The following is a 15306-nucleotide window of genomic DNA, read 5'->3' as shown; positions in this document are numbered from 1 at the left end:
TGTGAAATTTATTTCTTAAGATGCATCTTAGTCTGTTCATGTTACTACAGTAGAATAACCTCAGGTAGGGAAATTATAAAGAATAGAAGTTTATTTTTTCGCACTTCTGGTGGTCAGGGAGTGGATTCAGTTGTCTGGTGAGGGCTGTATCCTCCAGAGGGAAGGAACACTGTATCCTCACATGGTGGAAGGTGGAAGGGGAAGCCAGTTGAACGTTGCATGAAGTCTCTTTAATGAGGGCCTTAAACCCATTCACAAGGGAGGAGCCTCATGGCCTAATCATCTTTTGAAGGCCTCCCCTCTTAATGCTATCACATTTGCAACATCTGAATTTTGCAGGGGACACATTCAAACCACAGCAGGATGCAATATGAAAGATCTTTGCTTATGGTCGAGGACTCTATAGATTTCATTTTTGTTGTTGTTATTTTGTAATTCATCTATTCATTCAGTGATGACTTTCTGAAGGCCTCGTGTTGGATAGTATGAATATCAAAATAAATTAGGCATGATACACACCCCAGTGAGCTTTCAATCTATTAGAGGGAAACTGATACATAAACTGTAAATACAATACTAAGATTCTGGAGTCACTGTAGAAGTAAACAGTGGGTACAGTTGTATACAAAGGAAAGAGTGGTAAATTGTATCTCTGGAATCCAGGAAAAACCTCACAGAGGTTATATGACTTTACTCTTGAACAATGAGTAGGCTTTACTCATAGAGATAAGGTGACATAGGGATTGTGGTGATGGTGGGGGTAAGGGGTGGTGGTGGGAGAAGTTGAAACAAAAAGACCATTCTTAGCAAAAACAAACTTTCAGAACTGCAAGTATTTTGATATGGTTAGAGAGTGATATCTGATGAGAATTTCAGTAAGGGATGATGTTAGAGGCAGAACTTGACGCCTCCTTCGTCATTATTTAGGTGATTGAATATGTTGTTTTTCTCCTATAGGTAAAAGTGAGTAACTGAAGCAAGAAGTAGAATATTTATATTTTATAAATATATGAAATATATTAACAGTGAATTGAAGGGGATAAATATTTAATTTTAAAATACTGGGCAATTATTCTAGCCTCTAATCCTTAAAATTAATGCCATCATGTGTGGGAATGCAAAAGGCTGAGTATATGCACTTGCTTTAGTGGGTGTAGATCAGGAAGTGGTAGTCACATACAGGATTTGGGAAGAAAGAATTATGGTCAATTTTCTACATCACTGGTTTCCTGAGGAATAGAATACTGAAAAATTGGCTGTTTGGGAAAGGAGAAAGTTGTAGTTTCAGTTAAACGAATTTTAGGGAAAATTAAAAATGTTGATTAGAGAGTTGCATATATAGATGAAACCCAGGAAAAGAATTATCTGGAAAATAGAAGTCACCCTAGTTGTACATACATATGGGAAGAAAAGAGGAGCAATATACAATTCTAGGATATATTTCTACTTAAAAATATTATTTAAAATATTGATAAAAAAGGACATTTAAATAGTACTAAAATATTCTTTAAAATATTGATAAAAATAGAACATTTTATTAGTACTAATAAAAATATTCTTTAAAATATTGATAAAAATAGGACATTTTATTAGTAGTAATAAAAATATTCTTTAAAATAGTGATACAAAATAGGACATTTTGTTAGTACTAATAAAAATATTCTTAAAAATATTGATAAAAATAGGACATTTTGTTAGTACAAATAAAATCTAAATTTTTCCTGAGCTTCACAAATGTACTATAAAAAGTGGTTCATTTCCAATTTAAGTTTGCTGTATCTTTAAATAACTCCAATATTATTCCTCACTTCACTATTTATAAGAAAGGTCTATATTATAAAAACAGGCCTCCCCAAATCGTTTTTAAAGCAGCAAGTGTTTGATTTTTACAAGCTATACACATTCAGAATCAATCTTCTCTTTACATGAAAATGTTGCCTGTAGTCCCTAAAATATTCTCAATAAATCTTTAAATATTTAGTTAGAATTAGAAAACTATCTTGTCAAAAAACTTTACCAATTATCTTACCTAACTCTTCAAATAAACAAACACTTTGACATGTTGGTATTTTACTCCAATGGATTGCATTATTTATATGATTAAATAAATGAGTGGGTAATGGAACAGTATCATGCGCAAGATTTTTCTAAGGGTTTGGTAATAGTGAAGCAGCTATCTTCAAATGTTACTTATTTTTGTTGCTTTTTTCTTAGCGGAACAAGTCATATCCGTGTATCTTAGATTTGTTGCTCTACATCATTTCTGATGTAATGGAACATCAGATATGGTAGAACCATAAAAACTATGTAACCTGATATGAATTTCAGTATACTCACGATAAAGATACACTCTTATTGCGAGGTACACTCGCAATAAGAATCCATGCCTTATAGCTGGATCTACATCCATGATCAAATTATGTGTTTCAGTGTTTGTTTGGGTGATTTAAATCACAATAATCATGTTATACGTCATATGTCTCTTTCACAAAAGGTGTTTGGACAAGTTTTTTTTTTTTTTAAGTCTTACATGAAATACCTTTTGTGGACATATATGTCTCATAATGAAGAAAAATATATAGCATATCTAAAATGATGTTCAATTAAGCAATACTTATGAATAATATAAATCTTTTAAAAATAATATTTTAAAATGGCTAGGTGCAATGGCTCACACCCGTAATCCCAACACTTTGGGAGGCTGAGGCAGGGGGATCACTTGAGGTGAGGAGTTCAAGACGAACCTGGGCAACATGGTGAAAGCCCGTCTCTACTAAAAATACAAAAATTAGCTGGGAGTGGTGACATGAGCCTGTAGTTTCAGCTACTCCGGAGGCTGAGGTGGGAGGATCCCTTGAGCCTGAGAGGTGGAGGTTGCAGTGAGCCAAGATGACGCCACTGCACTCCAGCATAAACAAGAGTGTGAAACTCTGTCTACAATAATAATAATATAAAAAATGCAAAATATATTTATGTTGTATTTCCTAAATCTCATATAGAATGAATAATATTATGATATCGAAATTTTTTTACATTCACATATTTTAAATTACTATATTATCATTATATATAGAAATTTCCTGTGTCATATTTCTGAGCATTTAAATGTCATCTAAAAGCTCAATTGTCATTATGTTTATTCAACTAAATACTACCATTTTATACATCAGTTTTTCATATTAAAAGTAATAATTTTCAATTAAAACAGAAACTAGTACAAGCCAGACATAGTTATAATGGGCAAGAGTCAGGGTCAAGATGTGGGGGTGAAGGGCAGTTAGGCCAGGGCCAGGGGGAGTTATAACAGTTCTAACGTAATAAACAATTCCATTCAGATTCCATTTTATCTTTCTAGTCTACCTTCCAACACCTCCACTGTGAATGTCTGAGCACATTAGCTCAGAGTGAGCATATTTGTGTCATGGGGAAGGATATCTGTCCTTTCAAGGACAGTTACTGAAAATATTTCCTGCTAAAACATTGACCAATACTACTTAACTTTAATTTAGTAGAGTAGCACTCTCTATTTGTATAGAAGCTGGGCACAAGGATTTGATGACTTTTCAGCCCAGTTTGGCTGTGAGTAACAGATAACTCAAAATAATAGTGCATTAACCAAAATAGAAGTTTATTGCTTTCTCACATAAACAATGTAAGGAAGGAAATTGAGGCTGTAGTGGAGGCTTGGGTGTTTGAAGTCCTCAGGCACCTGGGCTACTTCTATGATGTTACTTAGCCTTGTGCAAATCCCATTCTCAGAGCAACACCATAGTCAAAGATGGCTGATTCAGCTCCAGCCGTCTTCTTTACATTCTAGGCAGTGGGAAGGAAGAAGAAACAATAAGAATACATATAAGATTTTCACCTTTAAAGAAGGTTTATGGAAGAAAATACAGGACATTTGCTGATTAAGCATCATCTCATTGGCCATGCCTAGATATGAAATGGAATGAGAAATGTAAAGTCTTTTCAAAGTAGCCATGTATTTACTCATTCATTCTAAGAATGAGAGGACAAATATTAGGAAGAAAGCAGCAGTATGTACATAATGTTCCAAAATATTGAAAACACACAAACCAAACTATACATATTAAAATTATAAGAGTATTTAGTGAAAAGAAAGTGTTGTACTGCTAAATAATCCATTAAGAAAGAGAATTTTGAGACAATAAACTATTACCTTATCATATATACACATAACAAAGACTAGAATAACTTAATAATGTACACAATATTATTAAAACTAATTACTTCAAAGTAATCAAGCTGGAAATAGAAGTGCTCTATAATATAGCCATTAAGAACTCTGGCTTCTGGGCCGGGCGCGGTGGCTCACGCCTGTAATCCCAGCACTTTGGGAGGCCGAGGCGGGCGGATCACGAGGTCAGGAGATCGAGACCATCCCGGCTAAAACGGTGAAACCCCGTCTCTACTAAAAATACAAAAAATTAGCCGGGCGTAGTGGCGGGCGCCTGTAGTCCCAGCTACTTGGGAGGCTGAGGCAGGAGAATGGCGTGAACCCGGGAGGCGGAGCTTGCAGTGAGCCGAGATCCCGCCACTGCACTCCAGCCTGGGCGACAGAGCGAGACTCCGTCTCAAAAAAAAAAAAAAAAAAAAAAAGAACTCTGGCTTCTGAAGCAGATTTATTATCTTTGGAATCAGTTTCTAACATTCACAGCTATATATCTTGGGATATTTTATTTAACTTTTCTGTGTCCTTGTCTTCTTATATGTAAAAATGAGATTATAATATTTTGTATCTTATAGGGTTGTTATGAGGAATAAATGAATTAATGTAAGTAGTTTTCTTAAAGTCATGCATAGCATTTAATAAGAATTCAACAAATATTTGTTATATGCATATGAAAATAGTTTCAGTGTACTTTATTTTTACTTACTAACATTTTAAATATATTAAAATTAATATCATATACATATATGAAGCTTATTATAAAGTATAGCAGACATTATGGTAAATAAAGCAAGAGGTCATCATCTCCAAGACTGCTTAGGCGGAAGTTACTAATAATTTTCCATGGTTAATATTAAAAGCAAAAATTTATGCCCATTTCTTGAACTTGCCTGAGTAATAGAGGACAGCAATATCTATGCTTGCTTAAGTATTATTAACTTATGCTTTACTGTGTAGAATCAATGCATTAGCCGAAGATTTGTGAAATGGTATTACAAATGTTGTAAGTGGTTGTAGCAAAATCACACACAGGAATTCACATCAGTGGCTGCATGATAAAAATACTAATTTTATGTATGGTATGTTTAATATTTACCTGAGTTTTTAAGCAAAAGTAAGATTAAGAAGTAATGCCATAAATTCTGAAAAGTAGAAGTATTAAGAATTCCAGAAGAAACATGGCTATACACAGTTAATGATCATTACAATAATTCCACATCACTTATCCAGTTAATAATTCTCTTCATTAACAGGAAAAATAAATACAACAATAACCCATGAGTCATCTGCATTTGATCACAATCATTTAATATATGTTAATTGAAATAATGATCTCAATTTTGTCTCTGTTCAAAATTATAATTTCATGTAAAGAGTTTCTTTTCCCTTCCTGTTTGGATCCGTGAGAGTAAAACATGCTTTCATAATCAGGACCTCACATAAGCCATTTCAAAATGGTGAAACAGAAGATATAAAATTAACTGTATAGAACAGTAAATAGACATAAGGGTTTGCAAGTAACTATATGGATATAAATGAAAAATAAGTCAGACCAAGGAAATATCAGTTCCCCTCAATGATCAGAGAAATTCAACCTAAGCATTTTTTTCCTGAACTATTCAGAAAATTACAGTTCTCTAAGACTATTCCTGATGTGCTTGCAAAATAATTCTTTAAGAGCACAATCATTTGAGAGCTACCCAACGCAAACTGAGCTCTGCAACTATCCCCTGAATTCAGACTGTGAAGTCAACCAATTTAAATCATATCACCTCATTTTTTTTTTTTTTTGCTGAGTAGATATTTTCTTCTCATCTTCTAACTGAGGAAAACTCTATAATTCATAGTTTTTAAATTGTTTAATAAAAGCTTTTAACAAGTAAGTTGCCTCAAACTGGTAGGCTGTGGATTTTGAAGGGTTGACAGTTAGGTTGATACTGCCTTCTCAGTTACTTGCCAGTGCTATATTTTAAGCAAATAATTGGATAACACTTTCTTTCCCCCAGAAGTCTCAGGATTTTACAGTGACATTCCCAGTGTCAGCAGTGGCTTCATCAACAGTTACGTAAAATGTGAAGATGCCACCAGGAAGTCCTGTTTCACACTTTAGAAAACGAATGTTAGTGGATGTGTGGGTATGTGGGTGTGAAAAAAATAGGCTGTGTATTGTAGCAAAATTTGTAATGGAATTTTTTTTTTAAAGAAGGATTCCCAGAATATCACACTATAAGCATTGGACAACCTAGAGATTTTGTGAAAAATGAACACTCTTAAGGAAGAAGGATTTTTTGCATCTGTTTCAGGTAAGGATGTCTTCTACTTCTAATGTGAAGTATATGCAATGGAGGACAAAAATTATTTTGCAGTCAGTAGATGATCTAGTGTCAAATCCAATCTTCTTATTCCTTGCAGGTAGACATTTTAGAGAGACCATATAAAGCTACAAGTACCATGAATAAATATAACGCTATACCAGGATTCTTAAATAAACATTCTATGAGAGAGAAAAAACCAGTGGCTTAAACTACACTAGGAATTAAATGTAACATTTAAAATTTTCTGTGCATACTGGACAGACGAATAAAGGAAACATGAGTATACCTTAAAACATATTTTTTAAAAACAATAAGTATGACAATATAAGCTTTGAATCTTACACTTACTACAGGCAATCACAACAATGATATTTAATGTAAGACTATAAAATAATTCACAGTATTAATTATCTTATAAATTCATATTTTTGGCATATGATTTTTGTCAGCAGAAAATCTCTTCCTAAACTGTAGGATAAGAGATGACTTAATGTACTTCCATTCATACTACAGAAAATAATATTCTCCATAAAATGTTTCTATTGTAGTTTATCAGGATGACTCCTAGCTCTCAAAATATCATCTTGCTCAATACTGGCTTCCATTTTCAGAGTAATTTCAAGTGTTAATCATAAGTAAAAATTATTACTTAGAACGATTATCTTTTTGAGAGCAGTGTAAAATAGGAGAAGCAGAGAAGCTTAATAACAAAACGAAAAGAAATTTATTTTTCAGGGTTCGGGAGGCAGGGTGGGGAATATCAAGGTACTAGCGTCTGGTAGGGCCTTTGTGCTACATCGTTCCATGGCTGAAGGCAGAAGGGCAAGAAATTGTGAGAGCAAGGGAGCAAAAAGGGCCAAATTCATTTTTTTTTTTAAATGGAGCCTCACTCTGTTGCCCAGGCTGGAGTGCAGTGGCATAGTCTCAGCTCACTGCAACCTCTGCCTCCTGGGTTCAAGTGATTCTCCTGCCTCAGCCTCCTGAGTAGCTAGGATTACAAGCACCTGCCACCACGCTGGCTAATGTTTTGTGTTTTTAGTAGAGACAGGGTTTCAGCATGTTGGCCAGGCTGGTCTTGAACTCCTGACCTCGTGTTCTGCCCGCCTCGGCCTCCCAAAGTGCTGGGATTACAGGTGTGAGCCACCACACCTGGCCATTATAGCAAGCTGACTCTTGGGATAACTAGCCCAATCCCACGACAACAACATTAACCCACTCATGTGGGCAGAGCCCGCATAACCTAATCACCTCTTATTAGGCCCCAGCAATCAAAAGTGTTGCATTGGGGATTAAATTTTCAACACACAAACTGTGGGGAACACATTCAAACCATTGCAATAATTGAATTGTTTTCTTATAACTTTACTACTTTAGTATTTTAGTTATCCTGAAAATAACATTTGTTTACTGACTTTCATGCTTCTATGCTTATAAATATTTTCTATTTTTTTTAGAAAATATTTTATCTACCACGTGTCTACATATAAGTGGAGAGGGAAGTGTGACATGATAGACAATTCCAGGAATTTTTCATAATATTGAATTTACCTGTGTACATATGGTGTGCATTGATAAGCTTTTGCAGATAAAACATTTGTAAATAAGTACCTTTTAATACCTGTAGAAGAGAAACACACAGCAATTATATAGTACTGACCTCAGATGAGTCAAATTAGCCTTCAGGCCTAGGGTTGCTGACATCTTCCACCATTCCTACACTCTACCCATTTAAAAAAAATGTCCTTTTATTAAATCTTTCCTTAATTATACTAACTTACGCATGCCATCTCTTTTCTTCTGGGGACCTGCTTGACATCCCTGAAAACAAACAAACAAACACAAAAACAAAATATGAATATAGAAAAAATAATATTTACTATTAAAAAGACAAATAATAGCTTATATTTATTAAACACTTACTAGATGCCAGAAAATAATCTGACCGTTTAAAATTCATTAAATCATTAATTTATCACAACAAACCCCTACAGTATTATTATCATCTCTATTTTATGGTTGAAGAATCAATGAAACTTGCTCAAAGTCACACAGCTATTAAATAGTAAAGCAAGGATTGAACCCCAAACAATCAACTCCAGCCTCTTGAGGGCTACTCAAATGTCATTTGTTGATAGGAAGTGGCTAACTGGAGAGAGAGTGCCTCGACTAGACGTGGCTTTCTACCTGTCATATTTTGTATCATCTATAACTTCGTTTAGTGTTGCTAGGATTGATTTTTGAAAAGAAACCTGAATATATAGGTTTTTTTGTGTAACTCCTTCTCATGTTTAAATTTAGATTTGTTTTTACCAAAATAAACAAAACCCCAGAAAACAACAAAACAAACAAACAAACAAAAACACTAAAAACAAAACAAACCAAAAACTACTTTATGGACCAAACAAAACTTTCTACTTCACCAAAATTTGATCCACTGGCCAGTGCTTATAACCTATCATACAGGCGAAATTGAAAATTCAATTAATGTGTGAGTAACTTATTAAATAATTATGTTTTTCATAATTTATCTTGAAACAATTTTCAACAAAACTCTTTTTAGAATAGACTGTTTAGAAATATTTCACAGATTAAATGTGTTGCTAGTCTTTACTTTTTAGTATAAGACACAGTCCACTGACAACACAGGAAGTCTTGCATTTTCTATGCAATTGTCTTGGAGTAATCTTAAAGGATTATATTCTACTTGTGGAAAAACTTTCCTTGATACCCTATGTGTTTGGACTTTCTTGTGAATCAGTTTTTGAATAGTAGTAAAATACTGCCTTTGAAGTTGAATAGATCAAGTTATGGATACCAGCTCATGACTTATTAACTATTTATTAACTAAGGAAACCCTGGAGCTCAGTTTCCTTATTAATAAAAACTGGAGTGAAAATTTTTTTGTAGGTTTGTTGAGTACTAAATGAAATTATGTGTACAGCACCTACCACATAATGTAAGCTCTGGTGGAAGAATGCTTGGTTAAAATTCTAAAACAAACATTTATTAGCTATTTTATTTGTCTAAGTTACTTAACCTCTGTGTCCTCTGCACTCCTTCCTCCAGCTCCAGTAGTTCTCATATTTGTTAAAATATGCAGGTTCCTGGAACTTTCTCCCAAAGTTTGTGATTCAGTAGGTTGGAATGCAGCCCATTAATTTGCATTTCTAACAATCTCCCTAGTGATGCTGATACTGTTTCTCTGGAGACCATTGCTTTGAGGAACACCACTCTATGCAATGTTATTAACCTCACCTTTTTCATAGGGTTTTCAACCAGGCTTAAAAAATATACCATCTGTAATACATTTATCACCAACTGCCTAAGAATATAATGCTAACTAGTTGATATTATTATTACTATTACTTTAAAATATTTGTCTCCCTACTTTCTTTCAAAATTGTGATTGAGAATTTAACCACAGAATTCCTCTTGGTACCTTAATCACTTCTGTGAAATGAGGATGATATTTTTCTCATTCATAAAGATGACATTTCTTTATAAAGGAGGGGTAATACTTGTTCATAAAGGAAAGATGATTTGAATATTAACATTCACAAATTTACATATGTAAGTGTAGTAGTTAACTATTGCTGCAAAAATGCTGAATAACTCAGCTTAAAACAATGCACATATATTTTCTTCCTCTCTATTCTGTGAGTCACCAGGAGCATTCCTGTTTTAGGGTATGGGTGGGTCAGCTGGGTTGGCTTCAGACTTCTGGCCAGGGTCTGGCTCACTCCACTGGTCCATTCTGAGCCCAGGCTGAAGAGACATCAGCGATAGAGGGCATGTCTATCTCACAATGGTTAAAGAAGCAAAAGAGAGAAGCCAAAGCACCTAGGCACATTAAGGTACCTTGTTTATGTCATACTTACTAATATTTCCTTCGCCAAAGCAAGTCATTTGGCCACATCCAATATCAACGGTTTCAGGAATACTTTTTATCATGCTAATGGTAGATATAACAAAGTCAGGGGCAAAAAAAGGTTTAGAGACAGGTAGAAAGTGAGAACAATGATCCAGTCTACCAAAGTAAGGACATTAGAATATTCCAGATGTTATGGTTACTGTGGAGAGATGCATGCTTTCACATATTGTCATCTCTCTTCAGAAATATAATGCTGAGACTTTTTTTCCTAGAAAATGACTGTGAGGAAAGTGTGGAAAGTAGAGTGCACATTTGTAACACAAAGGGAGACCATCTTCAATTGAAAGTAACAACATTTTAGCCCTTTCTAATGACTCTTTTGTGCAAACGAAGGCCTCCTAAAATTTATGAAGATGATGATGATAATATTGTTTACGATGTCCTAGAATAAGAATTCGCATAAATAAAAGAAGAAAATCACATTACATTTTTATGTGCTACCATAATTGTATGTGTGGAATTCTTTTTTTTGGAAGCCTCTTTTGGATAAGAAATATTAGAATACTAGGGGAAATAATTACGTTAATTATTTCATATATGGTTCAAATTTATGTAGTTGAATTAGTTAATTCTGTATCATATATTATACATGGGGAAGAATTGGGGAAGTTTTCTTTCATGATCTCACTTGTTCTATCAGCAGTGTCTTGGCTCTGCCTTTAAAATATGTTTAGATTCTACTTATTGCCACCTTATTGCCATAACTTGGTTCAAGTTGTCATTGTCTTTCATCCTGGTGATTTAAATAGTCTCCTAACTGCCATCCCTATTTCCACTCTTGACCCCTTCAGTCTGTTCTTAGCACAGTAACCTGAGGAAACTTGGTTAGACATAAATTAAACCACGGAACTCTCTAAAGACTGCACATCACACCCAAATAAAAGCCAATTATTTTATCATTGGTTTCCAGACGCTCCCTTATAGCCCCATTGTTATCTCCCTCACACCATCTTCTCTCACTCAACCCGCTTTTCTCCCTCTGCAGCAGCCCCGTGACCCCTGTGCTCATCTCTTGTGATGCTGGGTATGTTCCCTCCTTAGGGTCTTGTGGTTTGCCGGACATGCTATTCCCATGATTAGTTCCTTTACTACCTGCACTTTTTGCTCAGATATTACTACAACTCAGTCAGACCTTTTTCTACTACGTTACTTAAAATAGCAACACATTCTTCCCAGCAATATGCCCAAATCATCCTCTGATTTTTTTAATTCTCCCAGAACATTTATCACCTTCCAACATACTATATAATTTACTTATTTATTTTTCTGTCTATTTCTTCAAAATATAATGCAAACTTGATAAGGGTAGGTATTTTTGTTTTTTTAATGATATTGTGCAATGCTTAGAACTATAGTTGAAATAAGGTAGGTGCTTCATTAATAACTTCAATAAAAAATATAGTTTATAGGAATATAGTGATAATATCAGGAGAGAAAAAACTGACAACTAAGATTATCTTATTTGTATTAAAATGTTAATATAGAACATTGTCTCAGCAATTGTTACATATAGCACTCTTCACTTTGAAATTGTGTGTATGCAGGAACAGAAAACCAAACACCGCGTGTTCTCACTCATAAGCAGGAGTTGAGAAATGAGAACACATGGACAGAGGGAGGAGGACAACACACACTGGGGCCAGTCGAGGAATAGGGGAAGAGGGGAGGGAGAGCATTAGGACAAATGCCTAATGCATGCAGGGCTTAAAACCTCAATAACGGGTTGATAGGTGCAGCAAACCACCATGGCACATGTATACCTATGTAGCAAACCTACATGTTCTGCCCTTGTATCCCGGAACTTAAAGTGAAAAAAAAAAAAAAAGAGAAAAGATCATGGGCAGATGTGCTCTGCTACAAGGGTTTGTGATAATGAAAAAAAAAAAAAATAAATGAATAAACACAGATTTCATACCCTGAAAGAAAAAGAAATAGTACGTATGTTTTATTACTTTATTTCAACAATTAAAGACTATCTTGCATATAAATATACACATATATGTGAGTGTTTATGTATAGTTATACATACAGAGTCATGCACCAGTTAACAATGTTTTGGTCAGTCATAGGCCACATATATGACAGTGGTCCTGGAAGATTATAACACTGTATTTTTACTGTACCTTTTGTATGTTTCAATATGTTTGGATTCATAAATTTTTATGATTGTGTTACAATTGCCTACATTATTCAATACAGGAGCATGCTGTGCAGATTTGTAGCCTAGGAGACATAGACTATACCATACAGCCTAAGGGTGTAGTAGGCTATAACATCTAGGTTTGTGTAAGTACATTCTATAATGTTCCCATAATTACAAAATTGTCTATGGATGCATTTATGCATTTCTCAGAGTGTATCCCCATTGTTAAGCAATGTATTACTGTATAATGTTAAAATTTTCTTACTGTAATGTTGAATGTTGAAACATAAAATATTTCTTAAGGAAAAATAAAACCAATTATAATAGATGGCCGTTGTAATCTTCATGATTTAATCATTCATTCAGTGGTAATTATAGCACATATACAATAACCAATAATAAATACAAGATACATAAATAAATCAATGGATCAGAACAGATAGTCCAGAAATTGACTGGAACCTATACAGCCAATTGATTTTAGACAAAGATGCAAGCACCATTCAATTCAGTGAAGAAACAATAATTTTTAAAATAGTGTTGAAATAATTGGATATTTATGTTCCAGAAAAGAAACTTTAAGATAGATACCTCACATCTACAAAAAATAACTAAAAAGATTCATATAATTTAATATAACATATAAAAATATAAATTTCTAAAGGAAATCATAAAGAAAAATATTTGTGACTTTAAGTTAGGCAAAGAATTCTTAGGTAACAAATTATCATTAGAATTGGTAAAATAAATGCTAAATTGGTCTTTACCAAAGTTAAAAACTTCTAATTTTTAAAAGACACTAACTAGTAAGAGAATTAAAGACTAGCCACAAACTGGGGAAAAAAAAATTACAAATCAGACATCTAAAAGAGGACTGAATTTAGCACATATAAAGAACCCTTAACTCTCAACAATTAGAAAACAAACCATGCAGTTCAAAAAACAGACAAAAATGTAAGCAGCAGTATAGCAAAAAAAATACAAATGACAAACATATGAAAAGATGTTTGACATTTTTAATGGCTGGAGTAATAAAATTACATCCATAATAAAATATTATGGCATACTTATTAGAATGTCCAAAATAAAACATCTGATCATAACAAGTTGGTGAAGATTTAGATAATTGGAACTCAGGTACTGCTACTGGAAATGAAAGTGTAACAATAACTTTAGAAATAATTTGGACATTCTTAAAATGTTAAACATACGCCTCTAATATCACCTAACCATTCCTCTCCCAATATTTTTGAAAGTAAACTTCTGTACAAAAAGTTGCACGTGAATGTTCATAGCAGTTTTATGTGTAATAGCCAAAAAGTAGAAACAAACAAAATGTTCATAAACAAGTACATAGGTAAACAAACGACAATATGTTCATGCAATGAAATACTAGTTAGCAATAAAAATTATTTAACTTTTGATACCTGTAATAATGTGTATGAATCTCAAAATAATTGTTGTGAGTGAAAGAAGCTAGACCCCTCTTCCCAGAAGTACATACCATATGATTACATTTTTATGAAATTCTAGAAAATACAAAGTAATATATATAAAAAAGCAGATTAGAGGTTGTCAGGGGATATAAGATGGCAGGAAAATATGGAAGGAAGGAATTACACAGAATTGTAAGGAAATTTTTGGCTGTGTTTTATGTGTTCACCATTCCAATTGTGTTGGCAGTTTGACAGGTGTGTTAAAAATGATCTAATTATAAATTGAAATATATGCCATTACTATATACCAATCACATCTCAATAAGGCTGTTAATTTTACAAAATTTAGGTGACATGATAATTGTACACATTTATGGGATATAGAGTGATATTTTAATACGTGCATACAATGTGTAATGATCAAATCAGAGTAATTAATGCATGCATCACCTCAAACATTTATCTTTTCTTTATGTTGAGAACTTCAAAATTCTCTCTTCTAGCTTTCTAAAAATATAAAACAAATTGTTGTTAACTATATTCACCCAACGATGCTATAGAAAGCCCTAGAATTTATTCCTTCTATCTAGCTGTAATTTTGTATCCATTAACCAACCTGTCCCTGTCCTTTTCTCTCCTCTTCACTTCCCAGCCCCTAATAACCACAATCATACTCTCTACTATGAGCTCAGCATTTTTTAACTCCCAAATTTGAGTGAGAACATGGGATATTTATCTTTCTGTGTCTGACTCATTTCATTTAACAAATGTCTTTCAGGCCCATCCATGATGCCAGGAATGACAAGATGTCATTGTCTTGTATGGCTGAATAGTGTTCCATTGTGTATATATACCACATTTTAAAATGCATGTTATTTATTTATTTATTATTATTTTTTTTTGAGATGGAGTCTTGCTCTGTCACCCAAGCTAGAGTGCAGTGGTGCACTGTCGACTCACTGCAACCTTGGCCTCCCGCGTTCAAGCGATTCTCCTGCCTCAGCCTCCTGAGTACAGGATTACAGGTTCCCGCCACTGCTTCCAGCTAATTTTTGTATTTTTAGTAGAGATGGGGTTTCACCATCTTGGCCAGTATCCATTTATTTTTTAAAGACACTTAGGTTGATTCCATATCTTGGCTCTTGTGACTGGTGCTGCAGTAAGCGTGGGGTTGCATACATCTCTTCATTATACTGAATTCCTTTCCTTTGGATAAATACCCACTAGTGGGGTTGCTAATTTTTTAAATAAAATTAAAGGAAAATAAAATCCATGGCCATGATCAATGC

At 33.9% G+C, this 15306-nt stretch overlaps 2 long non-coding RNA genes across 2 annotated transcripts; one reads left to right on the top strand and one right to left on the bottom strand.

Annotated features, from left to right (window-relative positions):
* Nucleotides 1-3607: 3607 nt before the first annotated feature.
* Nucleotides 3608-4340, bottom strand: LOC124900862 (uncharacterized). The gene is made up of 2 exons (XR_007058480.1): nt 4252-4340; nt 3608-3813 (listed from the first exon to the last, which is right to left on the bottom strand). It is a non-coding gene; the product is annotated as an uncharacterized LOC124900862 (long non-coding RNA).
* Nucleotides 4341-6345: 2005 nt separating this feature from the next.
* On the top strand, nt 6346-10865 carry LOC124900861 (uncharacterized). Its single transcript, XR_007058479.1, has 2 exons — nt 6346-6495; nt 10651-10865. It is a non-coding gene; the product is annotated as an uncharacterized LOC124900861 (long non-coding RNA).
* Nucleotides 10866-15306: the final 4441 nt, after the last annotated feature.

Source organism: Homo sapiens, chromosome 4, assembly GCF_000001405.40.
Source record: "Homo sapiens chromosome 4, GRCh38.p14 Primary Assembly".
NCBI lineage: Eukaryota > Metazoa > Chordata > Mammalia > Primates > Hominidae > Homo > Homo sapiens.
This window is presented reverse-complemented; position numbering and strand designations above follow the sequence as displayed.